The sequence below is a fragment of the Homo sapiens genome, chromosome 17 (genome assembly GCF_000001405.40).
Source record: "Homo sapiens chromosome 17, GRCh38.p14 Primary Assembly".
NCBI classification, from domain to species: Eukaryota; Metazoa; Chordata; class Mammalia; order Primates; family Hominidae; genus Homo; species Homo sapiens.
The window spans coordinates 2,303,014-2,330,016 of NC_000017.11; the positions used below are offsets into that span (position 1 = coordinate 2,303,014).

At 45.7% G+C, this 27,003-nt stretch overlaps 3 protein-coding genes, 1 non-coding gene and 1 pseudogene across 17 annotated transcripts in view, besides 4 other annotated features; 2 read left to right on the forward strand and 3 right to left on the reverse strand.

Moving 5' to 3' along the window:
- Window positions 1–772, reverse strand: part of SMG6 (SMG6 nonsense mediated mRNA decay factor) — a 243,947-nt gene extending 243,175 nt beyond the window's left edge. For 7 of the 10 annotated variants that reach the window (NM_017575.5, XM_047435697.1, XM_011523772.3 and 4 more), the window contains exon 1: window positions 620–772. In NM_017575.5, coding sequence (NP_060045.4) covers window positions 620–707 — 88 coding nt within the window. In that variant the 5' untranslated portion in view covers window positions 708–772. Of the gene's footprint in view, window positions 335–363; window positions 507–619 lie in introns of those variants that run through there. The other 3 variants (XM_011523769.3, XM_047435696.1, XM_005256569.5) reach the window with 3 other exon arrangements.
- Window positions 174–900: an enhancer, noted in NCBI's record as "H3K27ac hESC enhancer chr17:2206481-2207207 (GRCh37/hg19 assembly coordinates)". NCBI's record gives its function as "activates a minimal SCP1, AML or CMV promoter by ChIP-STARR-seq in naive H9 embryonic stem cells {active_cell/tissue: H9 hESC(naive)}" and the evidence as "EXISTENCE:reporter gene assay evidence [ECO:0000049][PMID:30033119]".
- Window positions 174–1,021: a biological region, named in NCBI's record as "H3K27ac hESC enhancer GRCh37_chr17:2206481-2207207".
- SRR (serine racemase) lies at window positions 365–22,251 on the forward strand. 5 transcript variants are annotated; one of them, XM_006721565.4, is made up of 8 exons: window positions 365–464; window positions 12,544–12,715; window positions 14,857–14,983; window positions 15,813–15,916; window positions 18,293–18,412; window positions 18,529–18,603; window positions 20,123–20,332; window positions 20,642–22,251. In XM_006721565.4, exons 2-8 carry the CDS (start codon window positions 12,548–12,550, stop codon window positions 20,858–20,860), a joined length of 1,023 nt encoding a protein of 340 aa, XP_006721628.1. In that variant the 5' UTR covers window positions 365–464; window positions 12,544–12,547; the 3' UTR covers window positions 20,861–22,251. The 5 variants fall into 5 exon arrangements, with proteins under 5 accessions (XP_006721628.1, NP_001291732.1, NP_068766.1 ...); NM_021947.3 differs by lacking the exon at window positions 365–464 and adding an exon at window positions 937–1,004 and having other exon boundaries at window positions 20,642–22,247; XM_011523974.4 differs by lacking the exon at window positions 365–464 and adding an exon at window positions 3,464–6,977.
- Window positions 402–611: a silencer, noted in NCBI's record as "silent region_7988". NCBI's record gives its function as "represses an Ori minimal core promoter by ATAC-STARR-seq in GM12878 lymphoblastoid cells {active_cell/tissue: GM12878}" and the evidence as "EXISTENCE:reporter gene assay evidence [ECO:0000049][PMID:35858748]".
- Window positions 802–1,021: a silencer, noted in NCBI's record as "silent region_7989". NCBI's record gives its function as "represses an Ori minimal core promoter by ATAC-STARR-seq in GM12878 lymphoblastoid cells {active_cell/tissue: GM12878}" and the evidence as "EXISTENCE:reporter gene assay evidence [ECO:0000049][PMID:35858748]".
- HNRNPA1P16 (heterogeneous nuclear ribonucleoprotein A1 pseudogene 16) lies at window positions 3,749–5,035 on the forward strand (annotated as a pseudogene).
- The window catches only part of TSR1 (TSR1 ribosome maturation factor), a 14,062-nt gene continuing 6,441 nt past the window's right edge, over window positions 19,383–27,003 (reverse strand). The window contains exons 11-15 of the mRNA NM_018128.5: window positions 26,330–26,462; window positions 22,291–22,407; window positions 21,676–21,816; window positions 21,491–21,565; window positions 19,383–21,361 (exon numbers count right to left, since the gene is read on the reverse strand). Coding sequence (NP_060598.3) covers window positions 21,183–21,361; window positions 21,491–21,565; window positions 21,676–21,816; window positions 22,291–22,407; window positions 26,330–26,462 — 645 coding nt within the window. The 3' untranslated portion in view covers window positions 19,383–21,182. The remainder of the gene's footprint in view (window positions 21,362–21,490; window positions 21,566–21,675; window positions 21,817–22,290; window positions 22,408–26,329; window positions 26,463–27,003) is intronic.
- SNORD91B (small nucleolar RNA, C/D box 91B) lies at window positions 26,112–26,197 on the reverse strand. Its single transcript, NR_003073.1, has one exon. It is a non-coding gene; the product is annotated as a small nucleolar RNA, C/D box 91B (small nucleolar RNA).

The window sequence follows — 27,003 nt, forward strand, 5'->3', positions numbered from 1 at the left end:
TTTCCTGACGTGGCTGGAGACTTGAAATTAACTTGCAAATTGAGCATTCTCTCTAATAAAAACTGCTCCCACACATGCCAGGGCCAAACCCGAGTAGTCTGAGGTCCCGGATCCCTCCAGTGGCGCAGCTTTCGGAAGCCTGTCTTGGGGGGGAAAAGTTCAGCAACGAAGTCGCAGGCTCTTAAACCTTTCTCCCCAATTCCTTCTCTCCGACGTTAAAGCGGTGGCCGGGGCAGGCCCGCGGAGGGCGGCCTGGAGAGCGATACGCCCGGGGCCTCCACCAGACCCCACTCCTTTCCGCGTCTCCCGATGCCTGGGAATCCGGGGCGGGTCTGAGAGGGCTGGGGCAAAAGGAACAGTCACCTTCGCGGCGAGAAAGAGGGTGGAGGCAGGAATTCGGGCCAGGCTCTCCCGGAGCTGGCCAGGACTGGCCGAGCCCGACCCCGCACTAACCCGCGAGAGAGGTAGGGCAGCGAGGGTCCGCCGCGGCCCCAGCGCCTACTGCTGGGGGAAGGGGCGGGGGCTCCGGAGCCGAGGGCCGAGCGGGGAGGAGGCAGAGGAGGAGGAGAGGGAGGCGGGGCGGGCAGGCCCGGCCCAGGAGCTGGGCGGCGCGACTCACCTCTGCTCCCGGCCTGCGGGGCCAGAGTAGCCAGGATCCCGCGCAGCTCCGACGCGGAGATCCGCACACGCTCCAGCCCTTCCGCCATCTTCGCGGCTGCTGCTACAGCCGTAGCGGCTCCGCCACCGCCGCGCGCAGCCAGGAAACCACCACAGACGGGCGGCGCGCGCGCTCGCCCACCTCCCGGCCTTTCCCCGCCCCCTGCCGCCCTCCCTTTCCGAACGACGGTGGCCGCGCTGGGAGGAAAAGCGCCCGCCGCCGGTTCCAGAGGGGCGGGACCGGAGCGAGAGCCTGGGTGGGGCGGGCGGGCGCTGCGCGTGCGCAGAGGTGCGGCCGGGGAGGCGCGCGGAGGCTGGAGCTGGAGGCGCGGCGCCGGTGAGCTGAGGTGAGGCGAGGCCGGGCCGTGCCAGGCCAGGCGGGCGTTTGCGGCGGTGGCTGCCGTTGCTGTTGTCGTGGACACCAAGGACACTGCTAGTCTGGGACTCGGGTTGACAGAGACACCCCTCAGCCTGGGCTCCTCTGGACACCTTAGGCCAGGCTCTCCCGCCACAGGCCCGGCCTAGCGCCGCGGGCCATTACTTGGGACCTTGAAGATCTGCTAAGAGTAGTTGTTACTATTCCCTTTTTTTTTTAGTTGGAGTCTCGCTCTGTTGGAGACTCCCGGGCTGGAGTGCAGTGGCGCGGTCTCGGCTCACTGCAACCTCTGCCTCCTGGATTCAAGCGATTCTCCTGCCTCAGCCTCCCTAGTAGCTGGGATTACAGGTGCACGCCACCAAGCCCGGCTAATTTTTGTATTTTTTGTAGAGACGGGGTTTCACTAGGCTGGTCTCGAACTCCTGACCTCAGGTGATCCACCCGCGTCGGCCTCCCAAAGTGCTGGGATTACAGGCGTGAGCCACCGCGCCCGGCCGCCCCCTGACTTTTAAAAACTAGATACGATATAGTTGGAATCGTGTGGAAGGAAGTACATCAGGAGGCATATAAGTCCATTTGGGACCTGTAATCCCGGCGACTCGGAACGCTGAGACGGGCGGATCGCTTGAACCCGGGAGGCGGAGACTGCAGTGAGCCGAGATCGCGCCACTGCACTCCAGCCCGGGAGTCTCCAACAGAGCGAGACTCCGCCTCAAAAAAAAAAAAAAGTCAATTTGGGAATTTCTGTGTCACTATGGATTCTTGAAAAAAATTACTGCTGTGGATCTCAGGTTGACTTTTTAATTTCCCATCTTTAAAATTGAACTATACCAGAAGGCTGGTACTTGAATCTTTTTTTGGAGAACTGTACAGAGGTGAAGCTCCCTTCCCCAAGGCCTCCTGCCTCCACCTGTTGCCCCTCCACAGCCCCATAGGCTTTTACCCCACACCCATCACAGAATAGTTACCAATTATTCCTTAGTCTGAGCCGAAGGGATTGCCACAACCTCTGACAGAACTCCTTCAGTTCCTTTTACGTGACACTTTGTCACCGGAAGGTTAAGCATAAGAAGAAAGTCAGTAGATGATGGGTGAAAAGATCCAACAGTTCAGAAGAGGAACCATTTGAGTGGTCAGAGCAGAAGACAGCCTTTGCCACCAGATTTGAGAGAAATAGGAAGAAGCGTTAAAAAATAATCTGTTTCATATTGAAATTTGAGAGGCCATTGCATGATTTCTTTTTTCAGCTGGAAAAATAATGGAAAACAAGAAAACTTTCTTAGGACAAATGGCACCACCCATTTAATGCAACAGTGTCAGTGAACTGCAGATTAGATATGCCAAAAGTTAAACCAGTTCAAGAAAATTTACCAGAACTCAGAAGGAAAAGGTAATAGATAAAAACTGAGAGACAAAGATAGGAGACATGGAGAAGGGGTACAAAAAATTAATAATTAAATACGAGTTCCAGAAGGGGATAATACAGCTGACTGCAGAAGAGCAATAATCAAATAGTAGAAGAAAATTTACTACGTTGGTGGAAATTTTTGAATTATCAGATTTAAAGAATTCATGAAATACCAGGTAAAAAGAAATGACAAGAAAGACAACCATATTTAAGTCAGTATCACAATGAAAGCTGCTGAGATTTTTTGTTTTTCGTTTTTTTTGAGACGGAGTTTCACTCTTGTTGCCCAGGCTGGAGTGCAGTGGCACAATCTTGGCTCACTGCAACCTGCCTCCTGGTTTCAAGCAATTCTCTTGCCTCAGCCTCCTGAGTAGCTGGTATTACAGGCGCCCACCACCATGCCCAGCTAATTTTTTGTATTTTTAGTAGAGATGGGGTTTCACCATGTTGACCAGTCTGGTCTCGAACTCCTGACCTCAGGTGATCCACCCGCCTCAACCTCCTAAAGTGCTGGGATTACAGGCGTGAGCCACCGCGCCCAGCCTTGAATTCAGTTTCTAAAAGTAAAAATTGTACAAGTTGGCCGGGCGCGGTGGCTCACGCCTGTAATCCCAGCACTTTGGGAGGCCGAGGTGGGCAGATTGCCTGAGCTCAGGAGTTCCCAACCAGCTTGGGCAAGATGAAACCCCATCTCTACTAAAATACAAAAAAATTAGCTGGGTGTGGTGGCGGGCACCTGTAGTCCCAGCTACTTGGGACGCTCAGGCAGGAGAACTGCTTGAACCTGGGAGGCAGAGGTTGCAGCGAGCCGAGATTGCTCCACTGCACTCCAGCCTGGGCGACAGAGTGAGACTCCGTCAAAAAAAAAAATTGTACAGGTCATATTTACTTAGCACAAAGTAATAAAACTAGAAGTGAATAGCCACAAATGAAGCAAAACATTCTAACCATTTGGAATTTTTTTAAAAACAACAATTTTAGGCCAGGCCCCGTGGCTCATGCCTGTAATCCCAGCACTTTGGGAGGCCAAGGTGGGCAGATCACTTGAGGTCAGGAGTTCGAGACCAGCCTGGCCAACATGGCGAAACCCCGTCTCTACTAAAAATACAAAAACTAGCCGGGCGTGGTGGTGGGTGCCTGTAATCCCAGCTACTTGGGAGACTGAGGCAGGAGAATCACTTGAACCAAGGAGGTAGAGGCTGCAGTGAGCCGAGATCACGCCACTGCACTCCAGCCTGGGTGACAGATAGAGACTCTGTCTCAAAAATAAAACAAAACAAACACTTTCCACCCATGGACACCGCCAAGTCTAAGTCAGAGTCTCCTAAAGAGCTCGTACAGCTGAAGAAGCTCTTCATTGGAGGGCTGAGCTTTGAAACAACCAATGAGAGCCTGAGGAGCCATTCTGAGCAATGGGGAACACTCGCGGACTGTGTGGTAATGAGAGATCCAAACACCAAGCACTCCAGGGGCTTTGGATTTGCCACATATGCCACTGAGGAGGAGGTGGATGCAGCCACGAATGCAAGGCCACACAAGGTGGATGGAAGAGTTGTGGAACCAAAGAGAGCTGTCTCAAGAGAAGATTCTCAAAGACCAGATGCCCACTTAACTATGGAAAAGATATTTGTTGGTGGCATTAACGAAGACACTGAAGAATATCACCTAAGTGATTATTTTGAACAGTATGGAAAAACTGAAGTGATTGAAATCATGACTGACCAAGGCAGTGGCAAGAAAAGGGGCTTTGCCTTTGTAACCTTTGATGATCATGACTCCGTGGATAAGACTGTCATTCAGAAATACCATACTGTGAATGGCCACAACTGTGAAATTAGGAAAGGCCTGTCAAAGCAAGAGATGGTGAGTGCTTCATCCAGCCAAAGAGGTCAAAGTACTTCTGGAAACTTTGGTGGTGGTCGTGGAGGTGGTTTCGGTAGGAATGACAACTTTGGTTGTGAAGGAAATTTCAGTGGTCATGGTGGCTTTGGTGGCAGCTGTGGTGGTGGTGGATATCGTGCAGTGGGGATGGCTATAATGGATTTGGTAATGATGGAAGCAATTTTGGAGGTGGAAGCTACAATGATTTTGGCAATTACAACAATTAGTCTTCAATTTTTGGACCCATGAAGGGAGGAAACTTTGGAGGCAGAAGCTCTGGCCCCTATGGTGGTGCAGGCCAATACTTTACCAAACCACGAAACCAAGGTGGCTATGGCGGTTCCAGTAGCAGCAGTAGCTATGGCAGTGGCGGAAGATTTTAATTAGGCAACAAAGCTTAGCATGAGAGGAGAGCCAGCGAAGTGACAGGGAAGCTACAGGTTACAACAGATTTGTGAACTAAGCCAAGCACAGTGGTGGCAGGGCCTAGCTGCTACAAAGAAGATATGTTTTAGACAAATACTCATGTGTATGGGCAAAAAACTCGAAGACTGTATTTGTGACTAGTTGTATAACAGGTTGTTTTAGTTTCTGTTCTGTGGAAAGTGTAAAGCATTCCAACAAAGGGTTTTAATGTATTTTTTTTTTTTGCACCCAAGCTGTTGATTGCTAAATGTAATAGTCTGATCGTGACACTGAATAAATGTCTTTTTAAAAAAAAAAAACAACAAAAAAACCACCAATTTTAAATAATTCATGGGTCAAAAAAGAAAACAAGACTAAAATCTTGGATTATTTAGAAATTATAATAATGAAAATATTGCATAATGGAATCCATGATATTAAAGCACTTCTCAGAGGAAAAATCCTATAAGTAACCTTATATGCTTTCTTTTTAAAGTGAAAATTAGTAAGCTAAGCATTCAACAAATATAGAAGACAATTAAAGGAAAATGGCAGAGTAAACAATCAGAAATAAGGGAAAAAGAGCTGTACTTTAAATAGATTGAAAAGCTCATTCTTCAGAAATAAAGCAGATACTAATATACACACATTTCTGGCAAAAAATAATTTTTAAAAAAGGGACATCCTCTTGGATGTTTCATAAACAATTCAAACTTAGCTAATCAAATCTGATTTTCCTGTCAAATACTTATTTCTTCTCCTGTTTTAAATCTCAACAAATTGTACCACCATTTAAGTCAAAACCCAGGAGTTACTCTTTTTAAAGAAAAATTTTTGGCTGGGCACGGTGGCTCACACCTGTAATCCCAGTACTTTGGGAGGCCGAGGTGGGTGGATCACAAGGTCAAGAGATCAAGACTATCCTGGCCAATTAGCTGGGCATGGTGGCACGCTCCTGTAATCTCAGCTACTTGGGAGGCTGAGGTAGGAGAATCACTTGAACCCAAGAGGCAGAGGTTGCAGTGAGCCAAGATCGCACCACTGCACTCCAGCCTGGTGACAGAGTGAGACTCCATCTCAAAAAAATAAAAATATTGGCCGGGTGTGGTGGCTCATACCTGTAATCCCAGCACTTTGGGAGGCTGAGGCAGGTGGATCATCTGAGGTCAGGAGTTCGAGACCAGCCTGACCAACATGGTGAAACCCTGTCCCTACTAAATACAAAACATTAGCCAGGTGTGGTGCTACATGCCTGTAATCCCAGCTACTTGGGAGGCTGAGGCAGGAGAATCGCTTGAATCCGGGAGGCGGAGGTTGCAGTGAGCTGAGATTGCCCCATTGCACTCCAGCCTGGGCAACAAGAGCGAAACTCCATCTCAAAATAATAATAATAATAATAATTTGTAGAGGCAGGGTTTCCCTGTGTTGCCCAGGCTGGTCTCAAACTCCTTGCCTCTGGCAATCTTCCCACCTTGGCCTTCCAAAGTGTTGGGATTACAGGTGTGAGCCACCAGGCCTGGCCCAGGATTTATTCTTCACACTTCTCTCCCCCATTCAATCCACTATCAGGATATGTCTCTTCTGTTCCTATAATGAACATGTATGGAATCATCTCCCCAGCATTCTCCCCTTTATTTTCACTTGGAAAATGCCCCTTACTCCCACTCAAAAGTACTTTTTTCTTTTCTTTGTTTTCTTTCCTGTGTCACTCCTTTATTTTGCTATTTTCCCCTCAGGTGCAGAGAATTGAGCCAGTCATACTCGTTTATTCACACTGTCATTAACAAGCCCTTTCTCATTTTATCTTTTCTCTTCATTCCAGTTCCCACTAATGTTCCTTTCCTCCCTCCTTAGGTATTCACTCTAATGTGTTTGATATATGTCTTTGAATATACATGTATCTTTGAATAATATGTAATGTTTTATGTATGTATGTGTTTTAAATGTACCTAATTGATACTGTGTTACAGATCTCATTCTGTTTCTTTTTCATGTTTATGTAAATACTTCTGACTATTGCACACTGTTATCTTCAGTGACCTCATACCCTGGCCACTGGTCCTGGGCCAAGATGGGCCAGAGTCCTTACCCAGAATTTTTTTAACTGAAACTGAGAAAGAAAATTCCCCTTCAGTGTGGAAGCCATAAAATGTAAAACATACGAGCTGTCAGCAGCCACGTGTCAGTTGGTTCCATATGGAACCAACTCGCCTGTGTGAAAAAGAAGCCGACGTGCAGAAAGCAGCAGAGGTGAGAGACTAAGAGTCTGGGAAGCTGTCAAATCTCTGGTTCCAGTAGTTCCTGAAGCTCCATATTCCTCCCCTTACCATGGTTTGTTCATTTCTTCATGGATTCCATGAGCTAGTAAATCTCAACACCTCCACCTTGTGCCTACTAAGGTAGTACAAATTGAGGTTCTATCACTTGCAACTAAGAGGACTAACTGTTTACAACCTCCAAAATATATCTTATTTTTGATAGTGGGTTTTTTGTATTCTGGGTTTTGTTGTTGAGAGACAGGGTCTACATGTAGGAATGGAATCGGTAGATCATAGGATGATTCTATGTTCAATTTTTTGAGGAAGCACCATACTGTTTACTGTAGAATTACCACTACAGGCGCCTGCCACCTGCACGGCTAATTTTTGTATTTTTGGTAGAGATAGGGTTTCAACGTGTTGCCCAGGCTGGTCTTAAATTCCTGAGCTCAAGCAGTCCGCCCACCTAAAGTGCTGGGATTACAGGTATGAGCCACTGCATCCTGCCAAGGGGGCATAATTGACATTTATTCATAAAAATATTGAGACTTCAGGCCTGGCATGGTTTTTTGGGATTTTTGGTTGTTGTTTTTTTTTTGAGACAGAGTCTCACTCTGTCGCCCAGGCTGGAGTGCAGTGGAACATTCTCGGCTTACTGCAACCTTTGCCTTCCAGGTTCAAGCGATTTTTCTGCCTCAGCCTCCCTAGTAGCTGGGACTACAGGCAAATGCCACTACTCCTGGCTAATTTTTTTGTTTGTTTGTTTGAGACAGAGTCTTGCTCTGTCACCCAGGCTGGAGTGCAGTGGCATGATCTTGGCTCACTGCAAACTCCGCCTCCCGGGTTCATGCCATTCTCCTGCCTCAGCCTCCCGAGTAGCTGGGACTACAGGTGCCCGCCACCATGCCCGGCTAATTTTTTGTATTTTTAGTAGAGACAGGGTTTCACCATGTTAGCCAGGATGGTCTCGATCTCCTGACCTTGTGATCTTCCCACCTCAGCCTCCCAAAGTGCTGGGATTACAGGCGTGACCCACCACGCCCGGCCAATTTTTGTTTTTTTAATGGAGACGGGATTTTACTATGTTAGTCAGTCTGGTCTCAAACTCCTGAACTCCTGATCTCAAGTGATCCACTTGCTTTGGCCTCCAAAAGTGCTGGGATTACAGGCAAGAGCCACCACGCCCAGCCAACTATTTTTTGTTCTCTTGTTTTTTTGTTTTTAAGAGACAGGGTCTTGCTCTTGCAGTGGTACAATAACTCACTGCAGCCTTGAACTCCTGGGTTTAAGCAATCCTCCTGCCACTGTGCCCAGCCGAGGGGGCATAATTGACATTAAAAAATATTGAGTTTTCGGGCCCGTCATGGTGGCTCACGCCTGTAATCCCAGCACTTTGGGAGGCCAAGGTGGGTGGATCACTTGAGCTCAGAAGGTCAAGACCAGCCTGGGCAACATGGCAAAACCTTGTCTCTACAAAAAATACAGACGTTTTTTGTATTTGTGGTGGCACAGTGCACCTGTGGTCCCAGCTACTCAGGAGGCTGAGGTGAGAGGATTGCCTGAGCCTGGGAGGCAGAGGTTGCAGTGAGCTGAGATCATGCCAATGCACTCCAGCCTGGACGACAAGAGACCCCGTCTCAGTAAATAAATAATGCCTCCAATTCATTTATACATCTTTACAATGGAATTTCTGGCAACTTTGATAAAGTAATTCTAGTTCACCTGAAAGAATTGATATGTGAGAAAAGCCAATGAATTTTAGAGCAATCAAGGGAGAATTTATTAATACAGTATATAATAGGAAAAGACATTGGCAGTCTGGCCAATGGAACAAAATACAATAGCCCCAACCATTCATAGAAATTTAATTTTTGATAAATAGAGCATTTCAGAGGAAAAGGATTCTGTCAGTAAATGGTGTGTTAAGAAGGCTGGGTGTGGTGCCTCATGCCTGTAATCCCAGCACTTTGGAAGGCCAAGGCGGAAGGATCACTTGAGCTCAGGGGTTTGAGACCAGCCTGGGCAACACAGCAAGACTTCCTCTCTACTAAAATAAAAATTTAAAAAATTAGCTGGGTATGGTGGTGCACAGTCATAGTCCCAGGTACTTGGGAGGCTGAGGCGGGAAGATCACTTGAGCTCAAGAGTTTGAAGCTGCAGGGAGCCATAATTGAGCCACTGTACACCAGCCTGGACAACAGAGTGAGACCTTATCTAAAAAAAAAAAAAAAAGACTGAGAAAAGAACAAGTGGCCAAGATACACAAAAAAATGTTCAATCACTAGTAATTAATGTAAATTAAAACTACTAGACATTGCCAGGCACAGTGGCTCACACCTGTAATCTCAGCACTTTGGGAGTCTGAGGCAGGTGGATCACGAAGTCAGGAGATCGAGACCATCCTGGCTAACACAGTGAAACCCTGTCTCTACTAAAAATACAAAAAATTAGCCTGGCGTGGTGGCACACACCGGTAGTCCCAGCTACTCGGGAGGCTGAGGCAGGAGAATCACTTGAACCTGGGAGGTGGAGGTTGCAGTGAGCCAAGATCCCACCACTGCACTCCAGCCTGGGCAACAGAGCAAGACTCCGTCTCAAAGAAACAACAACTACTAGACATAACTAAATTGACATAAAAATGATATAGGACGGATGAAGGAAAAGAGGCATCATTCCATCAAAACTGTTGTTGGGAGTACAAATTGATGTAATATAGGACCCTTCTGGAGATCAGTTTGGCAGTGGGTATCAGATTTCTTAGAAATATGTATGCCTTTTGATACAAAATACCATTTGGTGAAATCTACCCTAAGGACTGACGGAGGTACACAAAAATCTTGCAACAAGGCTATTCATTACATCATTCTTACAGCCAACAACAACAAAAGGAAATCCAAATGTTCATTTGAGCTATGTAAACTTAAAATTATTATTTTTTCTTTTTCAAGAGATAGGGTCCTGCTTATGTTGCCCAGGCCACAGTACAGTGGCTATTCATAGACGTGATAATAACACACTCCCGGGCTCAAGCAAGCCTCCCGCCTTAGCCTCCCAAGTAGCCGGGACTACCAGTGTGTGTCACTGCCCCCAGCTAAATTATTGTATTTTTGTAAAAGAAGTACTATTAAGTCATTTTAAAAGTTGGATAAAGCCGGGCGCAGTGGCTCACGCCTGTAATCCCAGCACTTTGGGAGGCTGAGCCAGGTGGATTGCCTGAAGTCAGGAGTTCGAGACTAGCCTGGCCAACATGGTGAAACCCTGTCTCCACTAAAAATAAAAAAATTAGCTGGGTGTGGTGGCAGGCGCCTGTAATCCCAGCTACTAGGGAGGCTAGGGCAGGAGAATCGCTTGAACCTGGGAGGCAGAGGTTGCAGTGAGCTGAGATGGCGCCACCGCACTCCAGCCTGGCGGCAGAGCAAGACTCTCTCAAAAAAAAAAAAAAAGTTGGATAAATGGGCCGGGCGTGGTGGCTCACGCCTGTAATACCAGCACTTTGGGAGGCCGAGGCGGGCGGATCACCTAAGATCAGGAGTTCAAGACCAGCCTGGCCAACATGGTGAAACCCCGCCTCTACGAAAAATATAAAAATTAGCTGGGTGTGGTGGTGGGCGCCTGTAATGCCAGCAACTCAGGAGGTTGAGGCAGGAGAATTGCTTGAACCCAGGAGGCAGAGGTTGCAGTGAGCCACAGTCATGCCACTGCACTTCAGTCTGGGTGACAGTGAAACTCCATCTCAAAAAAACAACAAAAAAAAAATGTTGATAAATGTACTCACCTATGAGATTCATTGATATTCATAATACTGTCTGACAAAAAAAGAAGTTACCAAACCTACCAAAGAGTTTTGTCTGCATATGTAGTTGGGCCTGGAAAGGTAAACCACTGGATAGCAACTGTCTTTAGGTAGGAAGGTTTCGTGGCTATTTTCATGTTCTTTTTGTATCTCTGTATTTTCAGATTAACTCAGTTTTCTAATGAATATAGATTCTTTTGTAATAAGGAAAAATAGAGAAACTTCATATTTAACTGCTACAATAGACACAGTGGAAAGTGGAAGCTTAATGTAGTTATTGAAAATTATGAAAATTGTAAAGAAACTGAGTCAAATGTAGGAGCAAATAAAATGTTTGCTTTAACTGTTACATAATGTATATTGAGAATGCAGAAGGAGCCGGGCGCAGTGACTCACGCCTATAATCCCAGCACTTTGGGAGTCTGAGGCAGGCGGATCACCTGAGGTCGGGAGTTCGAGACCAGCCTGCACAACATGGAGAAACCCCGTCTCTATTAAAAATACAAAATTGGCCGGGTTTGGTGGCTCACGCCTGTAATCCCAGCACTTTGGGAGGCCGAGGCAGGCGGATCACGAGGTCAGGAGATTGAGACTATCCTGGCTAACACGGTGAAACCCCGTCTTTACTAAAAATACAAAAAATTAGCCAGGCATGGTGGCAGGTGCCTGTAGTCCCAGCTACCAGGGAGGCTGAGGCAGGAGAATGGCGTGAACCCGGGAGGCGGAGCTTGCAGTGAGCCGAGATCGCGCCACTGCACTCCAGCCTGGGTGACAGAGCGAGACTCTGTCTCAAAAAAAAAAAAAAAAAAAAATTAGCTGGGCATGGTGGTGCATGCCTGTAATCTCAGCTACTCGGGAGGCTGAAGCAGGAGAATCGCTTGAACCTGGGATGTGGAGGTTGTGGTGAGCCAGGACTGCACCAGTGCACTCCAGCCGGGACAACAGGAGTGAAACACCATCTCAAAAAACAAAAAAAAAGAAAATGCAGAGGGAAATAAAGAAAATGAACATAGTTATTTAAATGGAATAGTCTAGCTATTTTTTCTTTATCAAATAATTTGTTAAATTTTTATTAAAAATTAAAAATTTAAATTTATAAATTAAAAATAATATAAAAATTGAATCCAATTCATTCAAGTAGCTTCACAACGATGATTAAAAGAAAGGTGGAGCTGGGCACGGTGGCTTACACCTGTAATCCCAGCACTTTGGGAGGCCGAGGCAGGCGGATCACGAGGTCAGAAGTTCAAGACCAGCCTGGACAACATGGTGAAACCCCGTGTCTACTAAAAATATAAAAATTAGCTGGGCACGATGGCACATTCCTGTAATCCCAGCTACTCGGGAGGCTGAGGCAGGAGAATTGCTTGACCCGGGAGGCGGAGGTTGCAGTGAGCCGAGATTGTGCCACTGCACTCCAGCCTGGGCTACAGAGCGAGACTCCGTCTCAAAAAAAAAAAAAAAAAAAGGAAGATGGAGACCAGTGGCAGTGCCAACAGTGCCAAGAGATGGGTGGTGTGGGTGGGGAGTGGGCTTTAGCCTTCTGTAATCACCATCAGTTACTTCCCTCAAAGCTTCACCAGAAAAACTTCGTTCAGCTTTTAAGTCAACTCTCTTTTAGGGAAATTCTGACACTCCAATAATGGAGAATTTCCACATGACACCACAGGCCCCAGGTCTATTCTGTTACGTATTTTCAAAATCTCTTCAATAAACATACTGTCTCAGACTTTGCTTTGACCCCTTTCTTATTCCTGGGTTTCAGAACCATGTGTGCTCAGTATTGCATCTCCTTTGCTGATGTTGAAAAAGCTCATATCAACATTCGAGATTCTATCCACCTCACACCAGTGCTAACAAGCTCCATTTTGAATCAACTAACAGGGCGCAATCTTTTCTTCAAATGTGAACTCTTCCAGAAAACAGGATCTTTTAAGGTAACAATCCTTTTTCTCAGTGTATCATGTATGTTTTCACACCCTTTCACATATCAGTTTGATTCTCCTGACCACCCAATGAGATAGGCAGAAGTAAATTAATGCCTTTATACAGCTGGAAAAAAGGTTACAGAAATTTTCCTTTCAAGTCCTTGTTTTACCTAGCATCATAGTGTTGATAAGCAACTTTTACACAGTCATAAATCCTTATAATTAGGATAATATATATAACTTATCCGAGTAATTTTTATATATATGTATGTGCATATATATAATATATACATAAAATACAGTCATATGCCACATAACGTTTCAGTCAATGACAGACCACCTATATGATGGTGGTCCTTGGTCCCATAAGGTTATACCACACATTTACTGTACGATTTCTGTGTTTAGATACAGAAATACTTCTCATTGTGTTATAGCTGCCTACAGTATTCAGTACAGTAACATGCTATACAGGGTTTGCAGCCTAGGAGTAATAGGCTGTAACAGCTGGATTTGTATAAGTACACTCTATGGTGCATGCAAGATGATGAAATTGCCAAATCATGCATTTCTCGAAACATATCCCCATCCTTAAGCAAAGCATGACTTTATTATATATACCATCACTTACTGTCCAAACTAAGACATAATTTATTATCCAAACTAGGACATGTTTGGGACTGAAAGAAGCAACCTGAAATATCTAAACAGACACCTGAACTGTTGCAGGCAAATTGGAAAGTGTTATCACTCTGTATATGACCCAAGTTTAAGCATTCACTGTATCAACTTGCTACACATGGATACATTATCAATATAAAAGATCTAAGCCTGGGCCACACGGCAAAACTCTGTCTACAAAAAATACAAATATATGACAGGCGCAGTGGTTCACACTTGTAATCCCAGCACTTTGGGAGGCTGAGGCAGGTGGATCACCTGAGGTCAGGAGTTCGACACCAGCCTGACCAACATGATGAAACGCTTTTTTGTTTTGTTTTGTTTTGTTTTGAGACGGAGTCTCACTCTGTCCCCCAGGCTGGAGTGCAGTGGCACGATCTCGGCTCACTGTAAGCTCCACCTCCCAGGTTCACGCCATTCTCCTGCCTCAGCCACCCGATTACCTGGGACTACAGGCGCCTGCCACCACGCCCAGCTAATTTTTTTTTTTTTTTTTTTGAATTTTTAGTAGAGACAGGGTTTCACCGTGTTAGCCAGGATGTTCTTGATCTGACCTTGTGATCCGCCCGCCTCTGCCTCCCAAAGTGCTGGGATTACTGGCATGAGTCACCGCACCCAGCCTTGGTGAAACACTTTCTACTAAAAATACAAAATGAGCGGGACTTGGTGCCAGGCACCTGTAATCCCAGCTGCTTGGGAGGCTGAGGCAGGAGAATTGCTTGAACCCAGAAGGCAGAGGTTGCAGTGAGTTGAGATCACGCCATTGCACTCCACCATGGGTGATAGAGGAAGACTCCATCTCGGGGGAAAAAAAAAAAAAAAAAAAAAAGGCCGGGTGCGGTGGCTCACGCCTGTAATCCCAGCACTTTGGGAGGCTGAGGCAGGCGGATAACGAGGTCAAAAGATCGAGACCATCCTGGCTAACACGGGGAAACCCCGTCGCTACTAAAAATACAAAAAAATTAGCCGGGCGTGGTGGCGGGCGCCTGCAGACCCGGCTACTCGAGAAGCTGAGGCAGGAGAATGGCGTGAACCCGGGAGGCGGAGCTTGCAGTGAGCCGAGATCGCGCCACTGCACTGCAGCCCGGGCTACAACAGAGCGAGACTAGGTCTAAAAAAATAAAAAAAAAAAATTTAGCCGGGCATGGTGGCAGGTGCCTATAATCCCAGCTACTTGGGAGGCTGAGGCAGGAAAATCACTTGAACCCGGCCCTGGGGGTAGACGCAGTGTGGGGAGGCGGACGTTGCAGTAAGCCGAGATCGTGGCACTGCACTCCAGCCGGGATAACGGAGACTCCATCTCAAAAAAATAAAAAATAAAGATGCACATGAGATATTTAAGAGGTAAATCGATAAGATTTGGTGACAGATTGGATGTGCATGTTAAGGATAGAAAATCTAGAAAAGCTCCTTGCTTTCCAAAACAATGTTTTAATCAAATATGTGAATTCACCATCCCTCTTTTTCAGATTCGTGGTGCTCTCAATGCCGTCAGAAGCTTGGTTCCTGATGCTTTAGAAAGGAAGCCGAAAGCTGTTGTTACTCACAGCAGTGGAAACCATGGCCAGGCTCTCACCTATGCTGCCAAATTGGAAGGTACTTGATTTCTCAAGGTACTGGGTAGATCTTCAGAAAGGAGTGGAAAAGTGCCCTTAATTTCAGTGAGAGTGATGATAGCTGTGGGAAGTAACTTTCCAAAGAAATCTCTATCTGATTGCAAGCAATATGAACATAAGTTTTTTTTTTGTTTGTTTTGTTTTTTTGAAGACAGAATCTTGCTGTCACCCAGGCTGGAGAGCGGTGACGCGATCTCGGCTCACTGTAACCTCCACCTGCCGGGTTCAAGCGATTCTCCTGCCTCAGCCTCCTGAGTAGCTGGGACTACAGGTGCGCACCACCACGCCTGGCTAATTTTTTCTATTTTACAAATACAAAATACTAATTTCACCATGTTGCCCAGGCTGGTCTCGAACTCCTGGGCTCAAGCAATCCACCCGCCTTGGCCTCCCAAAGTCCTAGGATTACAGGCGTGAGCCACCACACCTGGCTGAACATGTTTCTTTCTTTTTTTTTTTTTTTTTTGAGACGGAGTCTTGCACTGTCGCCCAGGCTGGAATGCAGTGGCAGGATCTCGGCTCACTGCAAGCTCCACCTCCCGGGTTCACACCATTGTCCTGCCTCAGCCTGGGACTACAGGAGCCTGCCACCATGCCTGGCTATTTTTTTTTTTTTTTTTTTTTTTTGTATTTTTAGTAAAGACAGGGTTTCACCGTGTTAGCCAGGATGGTCTCAATTTCCTGACCTTGTGATCCGCCTGCCTCAGCCTCCCAAAGTGCTGGGATTACAGGTGTGACCCACCGTGCCTGGCCACATAAGTTTCTATTCTAAATTCTCCTGACTTTTTCCTCTCGTTTTCCTCTCCCAGGAATTCCTGCTTATATTGTGGTGCCCCAGACAGCTCCAGACTGTAAAAAACTTGCAATACAAGCCTACGGAGCGTCAATTGTATACTGTGAACCTAGTGATGAGGTAAGGAGAGCAGTGCTTGGTACCACCTTAACAGCTTTCATTTGACCAATGGCTCTTTCTACCTTACTGGCTGCTCCTTCTCAGCCTCCTTTGTGGTTTCCCCTTTATTTCTGTTAGCATGCTCAACCTTTTCTCTATCTACACTCACAAGATCTCATTAGTCTCATTTCTTAAATTATTACCTATGGTCTAACAACACCAACTCCAACTTCTCTCCCTTTAACAGCCAACTTTTATATAACAGCTACCTAACTTTCCCACTTGATGTCTTAAAAGGCATCTCAAACTACAGCTAAAACCAAACTCCTGATCTTACTTCCCTATATTGCTTCCCTTCCAGTCTTCCTCATCTTAGTAAATGGCAATTTTTATTCTTCTAGTTACTCAAAAAAAAGTTGGAGTCATCTTTTTTTGAAAATTTTTTGTTGTTGTTGTTAAAGATGGACTCTTTCTATGTTGTGGGATCCTTCTGCCTCAGCCTGTTGAGTAGCTAGGACTACAGGTGCATGCCACCACACCTAATTCCTTTATTTTTTGTAGACAGGGTCTCACTGTTGCCCAGGCTGGTCTCAAACTCCTGGATTCAAGCAGTCCTCCCACCTTGGCCTCCCAAAATGCTGGGATCACAGGCATGACCCACTGCACACAGCCAGGAATCCTCTCTGATAACCCTCTCATACCCCACATCCAAATCTCAGTCTGCTTTCAACATATTTCCATAACCCAACTGCTTCTGTGTCTACCGTTAGCACTCTGATTCAAACCAACATCAATTCTCACCTATATTCAATTCAGTAGCCAAACTGGTCTCTCTGCATCCACCCTTGCCACACTACAGGCTTTTTTGAGCAACCAGAGGTCTCCATTTAATAAAGTCAGAACTTGTCTCTTCTTTTTTTTTTTTTTTGAGGCGGAGTCTTGCTCTGTCGCCCAAGCTGGAGTGCAGTGGTGCCATCTTGGCTCACTGCAAGCCCCGCCTCCTGGGTTCCAGCGATTCTCTTGCCTCAGCCTCCCGAGTAGCTGGGACTACAGGCGCCTGCCACCATGCCCAGCTAATTTTTTCTATTTTTAGTAGAGACGGGGTTTCACTGTGTTAGCCAGGATGGTCTCGATCTCCTGACCTCGTGATCCACCCACCTCGGCCTCCCAAAGTGCTGGGATTACAGGCGTGAGCCACCACGCCTGGCCAGAACTTGTCTCTTTTCAAGTCTAAATCCTCTGTTGGTTTCCCATCTCATACACGGTGGAAACGAGAGTTCTTGCAATCATCTAATCCCTGGATAAACTCAAACATTCCTATCTTTCTGACCTCATCTCTCATCTTTTTTTTTTTTTTTTTTTTTTTTTAGACAGAATCTCCCCGTCTCCCAGGCTGGAGTGCAGCGGCACAATCTCGGCTCACTGCAACCTCCGCCTCCTGGGTTCAAGCGATTCTTCTGCCTCAGCCTCCCGAGTAGCTGGGACTACAGGCGCGTGCCACCATGCCCAGCTAATTTTTGATTCTTTAGTACAGACAGGGTTTCACCATATTGGCCAGGCTGGTCTCGAACTCCTGACCTCGTGATCTGCCCGCCTTGGCCTCCCAAAGTGCTGGGATTACAAGTGTGAGCCACCGTGCCTGGTCCCTCATCTTCTTTTTATTTATTTTGAGACAGGGTCTCACTCTGTCCAACCCAGGCTGGAGTGCGGTAGTTTCTTCTCAGCTCCCTGCAGCCTCCGCTTCCTGGGTTCAAGAGATTCTCATGCCTCAGCCACCAGAGTAGCTGGGATTACAGGCGCGTGCCACCACATCTGGCTAATTTTTGTATTTTTAGTAGAGACGGGGTTTTGCCGTGTTGGCAAGGCTGGTCTTGAACTCCTGACCTGAAGTGATCTGCCCACCTTGGCCTCCCAGAGTGCTGGGATTATAGGTGTCAGCCACTGCACCCAGCCTTGACCTCATCTTCTATTATTTCTCTTGCCCACTCTGTGCCAGCCATACTAACCTTTTTAGCTGTTCCTCAGAAAGGCCAAGCACTCCTACTTTGTAGTCTTTGCACTGTTACCCCCTCTCTGGAATATTCTAGACATCCACAGCACTTGTTCAGATCTTTTAAAATGTCACTTTACTAGAGGCTCTTCTTGGCTACCCTATATGAAATAAATTCCTTCATTTTACTCCATTGCACTTAGACATACCATATATTTACTTCATCCATCTCTACCATACAATATAACGTGCTTGAGGGCAGGGATATTTTATTAACATATATATCTCTAGTACCTGAACAAAGTGTGAAAAAAGTAGATGGTCAATAAAATGCTGAATGACCAAATGGAACTTGTTGGGGACTCTATTAAATACAAATCAATTAAGCTAAATTAATGTACTTTCAGTCCAGAGAAAATGTTGCAAAAAGAGTTACAGAAGAAACAGAAGGCATCATGGTACATCCCAACCAGGAGCCTGCAGTGATAGCTGGACAAGGGACAATTGCCCTGGAAGTGCTGAACCAGGTAAAATAGCTGAGTTCTTCCTGTTTAGCTACTGGTAAAGCTGTTGGGCTATATTCAATTATTTTATATGTATACATTAAATATAAAACTGCTTACAGTTTATATTTTCACTAAAGGTTCCTTTGGTGGATGCACTGGTGGTACCTGTAGGTGGAGGAGGAATGCTTGCTGGAATAGCAATTACAGTTAAGGTGAGCAGCTTCTGGAGGATTCCCTGCTTCAAGCAGAGGATTTACTTTACATCCTAAATGTTCTGTATACACGTGCTCAACATTCTGCACACATTACCATTCCTTCCCCTTATTCCTTTGGGACTTGAGATGAAGGCCCATCTCTGCCTCACTACTCTATTTACTATTATTATTATTTTTTGAGACAGATTCTCGCTGTTGCCCAGGCTGGAGTGCAGTGGCACGATCCTGGCCCACTGCAGCCTCCACCTCCCGGGTTCAAGCGATTCTCCTGTCTCAGCCTCCTGAGTAGCTGGGATTACAGGCATGAGCCACCACACCCCGCTAATTTTTTTGTATTTTTTTTAGTAGAGACAGGGTTTCACCATGTTGGTCAGGCTGGTCTTGAACTCCTGACCTTGCGATCCACCCGCCTTGGCCTCCCAAAGTGTTGGGATTACAGGCGTGAGCCACTGCGCCCGGCCTATTTATTATTTCTAATATTTTTATTTTTTTTAAGAGATGGGGTCTTGCTGTGTTGGCCAGGTTGGTCTGGAACTCCTGGGCTCAAGCAGTCCTTACTTTGGCCTCCCAAAGTGCTAGGATTACAGGTGTGAGCCACCGCACCCAGCCAACTCTCTTCTTAATCCATGACAATTTTACAGCACAAAAGCAGTTACAAGTGACACCATCATAGTCTTTTCCCTGAATTCCATGTCATCAAGCTACTATCCATACCAAGGGGCTACCCTTTTCTCAAATTACCAGGACAATCAGATGTGATCCAGGCAATGGAAGGCTAGTATCAGACATATAATTTATTTATAAAGTGCTTGAAGATATTTTCATTACATCCACAAAAGGGAAGGCTCTTACTTGGGCAGAAATGTATTACTTATTGTGCCTATTTTCTTTTTTTTTTTGAGACGGAGTCTCACTCTGTCACCCAGGCTGGAGTGCAGTGGCACGATCTTGGCTCACTGCAAGCTCCACCTCCCAGGTTCACGCCATTCTCCTGCCTCTGCCTCCCGAGTAGCTGGGACTACAGGTGCCTGCCACCATGCCTGGCTAGTTTTTTTTTGTTTTTTTTTTTTGTATTTTTAGTAGAGACGGGGTTTCACCGTGTTAGCCAGGATGGTCTTGATCTCCCTACCTCGTGATCCGCCCACCTCGGCCTCCCAAAGTGCTGGGATTACAGGCGTGAGCCACTGCGCCCCACCCCATTTTGGTGTGATCTCAGCTCACTGCAACCTACCCCTCCCAAGTTCAAGTGATTCTCCTACCTCAGCCTCTTGAGTAGCTGGGATTACAGGGGTCTGCCACCACGCCTGGCTGATTTTCCTATTTTTAGTTGACACTGCATTTCACCAGGTTGGCCAGGCTGGTCTTGAACTCCTGACCTCAGCTGATCCACCCGCCTCGGGCTCCCAAAGTGTTGGGATTACAGGTGTGAGCCACCACACCAGGCCCATATTTTCTTTTAGACATGCAGGCAATGTTGTGGTTTGTTGTTAAGATGTCTTAATATTCCTCTTCCCAGGCTCTGAAACCTAGTGTGAAGGTATATGCTGCTGAACCCTCAAATGCAGATGACTGCTACCAGTCCAAGCTGAAGGGGAAACTGATGCCCAATCTTTATCCTCCAGAAACCATAGCAGATGGTGTCAAATCCAGCATTGGCTTGAACACCTGGCCTATTATCAGGGACCTTGTGGATGATATCTTCACTGTCACAGAGGATGAAATTAAGGTGAGGCTCCAGCAAGAAAAGAAATAGCAAAGCATGGTGTAACTTCTTAGGCAGAAGAAACTTCCCTTAGGAGTAGCAAGTGACCCACGGGAACCTGACTAGGTAACTTCATGACATGGGAGGGTACCCTAGATGTATTAATGACAACCCTCTTGACAGAAGCAGAGTCAGAATTAAAGAAAAGCTTTGGGAAGCGTGTGTACACAGTGATAAGAAAATTCAAACTGGACACGTATTCTCATCTGAACTTTATAGGTAAACCAACTAGACTCCCCTTTCACTAATTCCTACTCCCTTCCATATCAACAGTGTGCAACCCAGCTGGTGTGGGAGAGGATGAAACTACTCATTGAACCTACAGCTGGTGTTGGAGTGGCTGCTGTGCTGTCTCAACATTTTCAAACTGTTTCCCCAGAAGTAAAGAACATTTGTATTGTGCTCAGTGGTGGAAATGTAGACTTAACCTCCTCCATAACTTGGGTGAAGCAGGCTGAAAGGCCAGCTTCTTATCAGTCTGTTTCTGTTTAATTTACAGAAAAGGAAATGGTGGGAATTCAGTGTCTTTAGATACTGAAGACATTTTGTTTCCTAGTATTGTCAACTCTTAGTTATCAGATTCTTAATGGAGAGTGGCTATTTCATTAAGATTTAATAGTTTTTTTTGGACTAAGTAGTGGAAAAACTTTTATACTTAACTGAGACATTTTGTCAAGGCTAAAAAAAAGTCTTGCAAAATGGGGCAGTGGACTGACAGGCTGACATAGAAAATAAACTTTGCCCAATCACAACTTGTGCCTCCCATCCCTGGAGTACTGACTGGCACCGGTAAGACAGAATCTCTTTGAATCCATTACTCCATGCCCCCTTGAGGCACTGTTGAAGAAATCTCACTTTTCAGCCAGGGTACTGGTTCTGGTACATATGGATCATAAGTCCATTTGGGGAAGACTCGTTTATACAGGTTCATCAGTACTGTGTCTTGAGATTTTAGCTTCCCATCAAAGCTGCATTTCATGTGGCCATGGGTACCTAGAAAGACATCAGAACAAGTCGGTCAAATTAAAAGTAGAAAATTTTAAAGCAATGACTTCCAACCCAACAGTCATTTAGCAACACTGCAGAAATGCAGACATGGTCTCAAATCCCGTGTTTCCTTACCTAAAGGTTCCTTGATATGTCCTCTCCGGCCCCACTTCGTTCTCAGTTCCACTGGTTTAAACCACAGCACATCCTCTTAGAATCAAACACATTAAAGACCAAGATGAAACATTTACCCACAAAATGTAAACCCAACCTTTATACCACAAAGGCAATCAGATCCCATCCTCCTCCTTCATACCCACCTCTGTTGAAGAACATGTAACGTACTACTGCCATCTTAGTAAAAATTTTGAAAGGATGACCACTCAGAACAACTCTCTTGATGACCATTCTGTCTGGATCTACTGACATAAGATGGCCTGTAGCAATGAGGCTGTGCATTCCTAAAGGACAAAAGCAAAGAAGCTATTTAGGAATTTACAGGCCAAAGTCTTCATTTATTGCCCAGTCCATTTAAAGACCCATGCAAGAGCCTGGTTTGTCATCCCTGCCCTAGCCCAATCTGAGGCTAAGATTGGTAAACTGTAAGCCCACACTTAACCTTGTCAATAGGTTCTTGAAAACTTGTACTTCAAGAGAAATGATGTATAACAAAACCATACTTTTTCTCATCAGTTGTTACAAGGAAAGGATGTTGAACAAAAGGCAGTTATTTGAGGACTGGCTATACACTGTTTCACGTAAAAGTTGGAGTTTTCATTGTTCTATTAACAATGTTAAATGAAGACTTACTGTATTTTGAAAACCATCATTACCTTCTCCATACCATTTGGCTCCCAAATTTAAATAAACAAGAGAAAACGGTGTTCATCTATTAAGGACCTGCAGGGTCTGTTCATCTCTGTGGCTCAACTTACCATTGCTTTTTTGCTTGAAAAGCAGCACAGATGCAGGAGGAAAAGTGATTGGCGCATAGACTGTCGCCACCAGGGCCATGTCAGCAGTCAGGAATCTCTGCAATTTATGTTTGTCCGCTGCCATAAGGGTTAAAAAATGAAAAGCAAAACCATTTTGAGAAACCAGAGGTGATAGAGGCCTGTGAAAAGCTGTATTAGTGCAACTCTTAAACCTATGGCAGCTTCTACTTCTCTAAACCACCAGTTCTCAAAAATTTTCGCTGCCTCAATGCACCTAAAAGATACGATCTAGTCCTATCAGTAACTTTTTTTTTTTCTTTTTTTTTGAGTTTGAGTATCGTTCCTGTCACCCAGGCTGGAATGCAATGGTGTGATCTCAGCTGACTGCAACCTCTGCCTCCCGGGTTCAAGCAGTTCTCCTGCCTCAGCCTCCTGAGTAGCTGGGATTACAGGCACATGCCACCACGCCCGGCTAATTTTTGTATTTTTAGTAGAGACCGGGTTTCACCATGTTGGCCAGGCTGGTCTCGAACTCCTCACCTTGTGATCCACCCACCTCAATCTCCCAAAGTGCTGGGATTACAGGCGTGAGCCACCGCGCCAGGCTGTATCAGTAACTTTTTATTTATTTATTTATTTTGAGATGGTGTCTCGCTCTTGTTGCCCAGGCTGGAGTACAATGGTGCCATCTCTGCTCACTGCAACCTCCACCTCCCAGGTTCAAGTGATTCTTCTGCCTCAGGCTCCCGAATAGCTGGAATTGCAGGTGCCTGATCAGTAACTTTTTTATCTGGAGTCAGAATCTTGGAGCCTAGACTGTATTTGATGTTCTACCTTCAAGGTAGCCCTCACCTCCTTTTTAAAATACTAAACTTAAAGGAAAATAAAATATTTTAAGGCAAAGAAAAATTAATCTCACTTAGAGATTGTGATTCTCACAATTGGTGAGAATAAAAATTATCCAAAACACCATTAATACTGCTTTCTTCATATTCCTCCTGCCACTGCTGAGAGTGAGTGAACTAGGACGATGTTCAGAAGCCCCCAAGTTAGTGGGCAACATATCTTCCTGCTCCTACTGTGTAGGAGACAATCATTTCTGCTGCAAGTCCCGTCCAGTAGTCTCTCAGTATCTCAGGACCCCTACCTCTGCTTTACCCAACTATGAGCCATACCCAGCCTCCATTCCTTCACCCACACTGCCCTTGGCACACTAGACATCAAAGTTTCCACACTTTATCACACCCTTTTAAATTCTGAGAGACAGTGTCTCACTCTGCTATCTAGGCTAGACTGTATTTGGTGTTCTACCTTCAATGTAGCCCTCACCCCCCTTTTAAAAATACTAAACTTATAGGAAAATAAAATATTTTAAGGGCTGTGGTGTGAACACAGCTCACTGGAGCCTCAAACTCCTGGGCCCACTGGCTCAGGCAATCCCTCTTGCCTCAGCCTCCCAAGTAGCTGGGACTGCAAAGCACATGCCACCACACCTGGCTAATTAAAAAGAAAAATTTTTGGCCGGGCGCAGTGGCTCATGCCTGTAATCCCAGCACTTTGGGAGGCCAATGCGGGTGGATCACCTGAGGTCGGGAGTTTGAGACCAGCCTGGCCAAGATGGTGAAACTCTATCTCTACTAATAATAGAAAAATTAGCTAGGCATGGTGGTACACGCCTGTAATCCCAGCTGCTTGGGAGGCTGAGGCAGGAGAATCACTTGAACCTAGGAGGCAGAGGTTGCAGTGAGCCAAGATCCTGCCACTGCACTCCAGCCTGGGCAACAAGAGTGAAACTCCATCTCCCAAAAAAAAAAATTTTTTTTTCGTAGAGGCCGGGCATGTTGGCTCATCCCTATAAATCCCAGCACTTTGGGAGGCCAAGGCACGTGGATCACCTGAGGTCAAGAGTTTGAGAACAGACTGGCCAACTTGGTGAAACCCCATCTCTACTAAAAATACAAAAAGTAGCTGGGCGTGGTGGCAGACACCTATGGTCCGAGCTACTTGGGAGGCTGAGGCGCCAGAATCACTTGAACCTGGGACGGGGAGGCTGCAATGAGCTGAGATCATGTTACTGCACTCCAGCCTTGGTGACAGAGTTGGACTCTATATCAAAAAAAAAAAAAAAAAAATTGTAGAGACCGGAGTCTCACACTCCTGACCTCAAGCGATCCTCCTGCCTCAGTCTCTGCAACTGAGACTTTTATTTAGTTCCAGTTCTAAGGATCTGCCTTTACAAAATAAGCAAAGAAGTAAATAAAGTTTTATGCATACAGATCTAGTTTAGAGCAAAACATTAGAAATAGCCTAAGTGCTCACCCGTAGAAGCTCAAATAAGTATCAGTACATCACATACACTGGAATATATCCAAATGACAATAAAGCATTAAAAGTCTCATTAACTAATTAATCTTATGGAAAATTGATCAAAATCAATTAAGTGATAAATGCAATGTTTAACACCATATTTACAATTACAATCCAAATTGTGTAAAGAAAAAAAATGAGATCTGGATGAAAATGTATAAAATAAAAATGAATTTTCTCTAATATAAGGTAATTTTACTTTTACATTATTCCTTATTTTCCCAACTGTATAAAATATGAAAATAGTTCATCCTAAAAAAAAAAATCAAAACCATTTTGAAACAATAAAAGAATGACTGGCCAGGCGCAGTGGCTCACGCCTGTAATCCCAGCACTTTGGAAGGCCAAGGCAGGAGGATCGCCTAAGGTCGAGACCAGCCTGGCCAGCATGGTGAAACCCCGTCTCTACTAAAAATACAAAAATTAGCTAGGCGTGGTGGCGGGTGCCTGTAATCTCAGCTACTCGGGAAGCTGAGGCAGGAAAACTGATTGAACCTGGAAGGCAGAGGTTGCAGTGAGCCTGGATTGCACCATTGCACTCCAGTTGAGCATCAGAGTGAGACTCGGTCTCAAAAAAAAAAAAAAAAAAAAAGAGGCCAGGCACATTGGCTCATGTCTGTAATCCCAGCACTTTGGGAGACCGAGGTGGGCGGATCACCTGAGACCAGGAGTTCAAAACCAGCCTGAACTCCTGGTCTTGGTGAAACCCCATCTCTACTAAACCCCAACATGGTGAAACCCCATCTCTACTAAAAATACAAAAATTAGCTGGGCATGGTCGTGCATGCCTGTAGTCCCAACTACTCTACTCGGGAGGCTGAGGCAGGAGAATTGCTTGAACCCGGGAGGCGGAGGTTGCAGTGAGCCGAGATCACGCTATTGCACTCCAGCCTGGGCAACGGAGTAAGACTCCGTCTCCAAAAAAACAAACAAACAAACAAACAAAAAAAAACAAAAAAAACAAGAGGGGGCGCGGTGGCTCACACCTGTAATCCCAGCACTTTGGGAGGCTGAGGCGGGCGGCTCACGAGGTCAGGAGATAGAGACCATCCTGGCTAACACGGTGAAACCCCGTCTCTACTAAAAATACAAAAAATTAGCTGGGCATGGTGGCGGGCGCCTGTAGTCCCAGCTACTTGGGAGGCTGAGGCAGGAAAATGGTGTAAGTAAACCTGAGAGGCGGAGCTTGCAGTGAGCCTAGATCGCGCCACTGCACTCCAGCCTGGGCGACAGAGTGAGACTCCGTCTCAAAAAAAAAAAAAAAAAAAAAAAAAAAACAGAAACAAAAACAAGATTAAATCTTACCTTTTTTGGTCTTCAATTCCCCGTTCTAATGCCACAAGTGTTGGGATTACAGGTGTGAACCACTGCACCACTGCACCCACCCTAATACCCTTTTTATAAAGCTGCCAACTTCTATTCAAAACCTGCTATGGAACAAATACTCATGGCAAAAAAGCCTCAGTATCACACAGAAGTTGCATCACTGGGATGCTTCAGACAGGTTCAGACATTTTGAATAAAAACATCATTGGCTCTTAAGCCAGAGTACTGAAAATACCTCTAACCCAGAGATGTAAGATTTTGAAACCATATATTTTGGCACCCCTCCACCACAAGTCACTTTCCCAAAAGACAAGATGGACAAGAACCCAGCTTCCCCATTGCTAACCTGCAGTGTGCTGAGAGAATAAAGGTGAGGCTCGGAAGCGCCTGAATCCACAGTGAAATATGAGCTCTTCCTTGGCTTTCACAGGTTCAGTGTTGCCAGGGTCACGCCTCACCACCATATTCAATACTGACATCTGGGGACCAAGTAAGAAAAACAAAAATCTTCATAGTCTAGGAATACAATTGCCTAAACTGAAAGAAGGCAAACCAAACTAGCAGATTCAGACTCATTCTAAGAACTGACAATGCTAATTAATGGTGGAGTGTAGATGCTGAAACACGGGTTCATCCTTTACCTCCACCAATGACTGGCATTTAAGCCAAACACAGGCTGATCAGAGCTTTCATGCACCCTTCAATGCTAACCTACCTTCCTGCACCTAACAGAAAAGAGCTCAACATCTGCCACACAAAAATCAGTGGCCTTCAAGGCATTCACTCACCACAATCTCAAAACCACACTCATTCAAGCCCCTTCTTCTTGAGCCCTTACCAAAACCGATCAAAGAACTATCACATACCCCACAACATACACAACTACTGGCCACCAAGAGAAAAGAGATCTGCACTTTGGCATAAACTTTTTTTTTTTTTGACATAAGAGTTTCGCTCTTGTTGCCCAGGCTGGAGTGCAATGGTGCAATCTTGGCTCACCACAACCTCCGCCTACTGGGT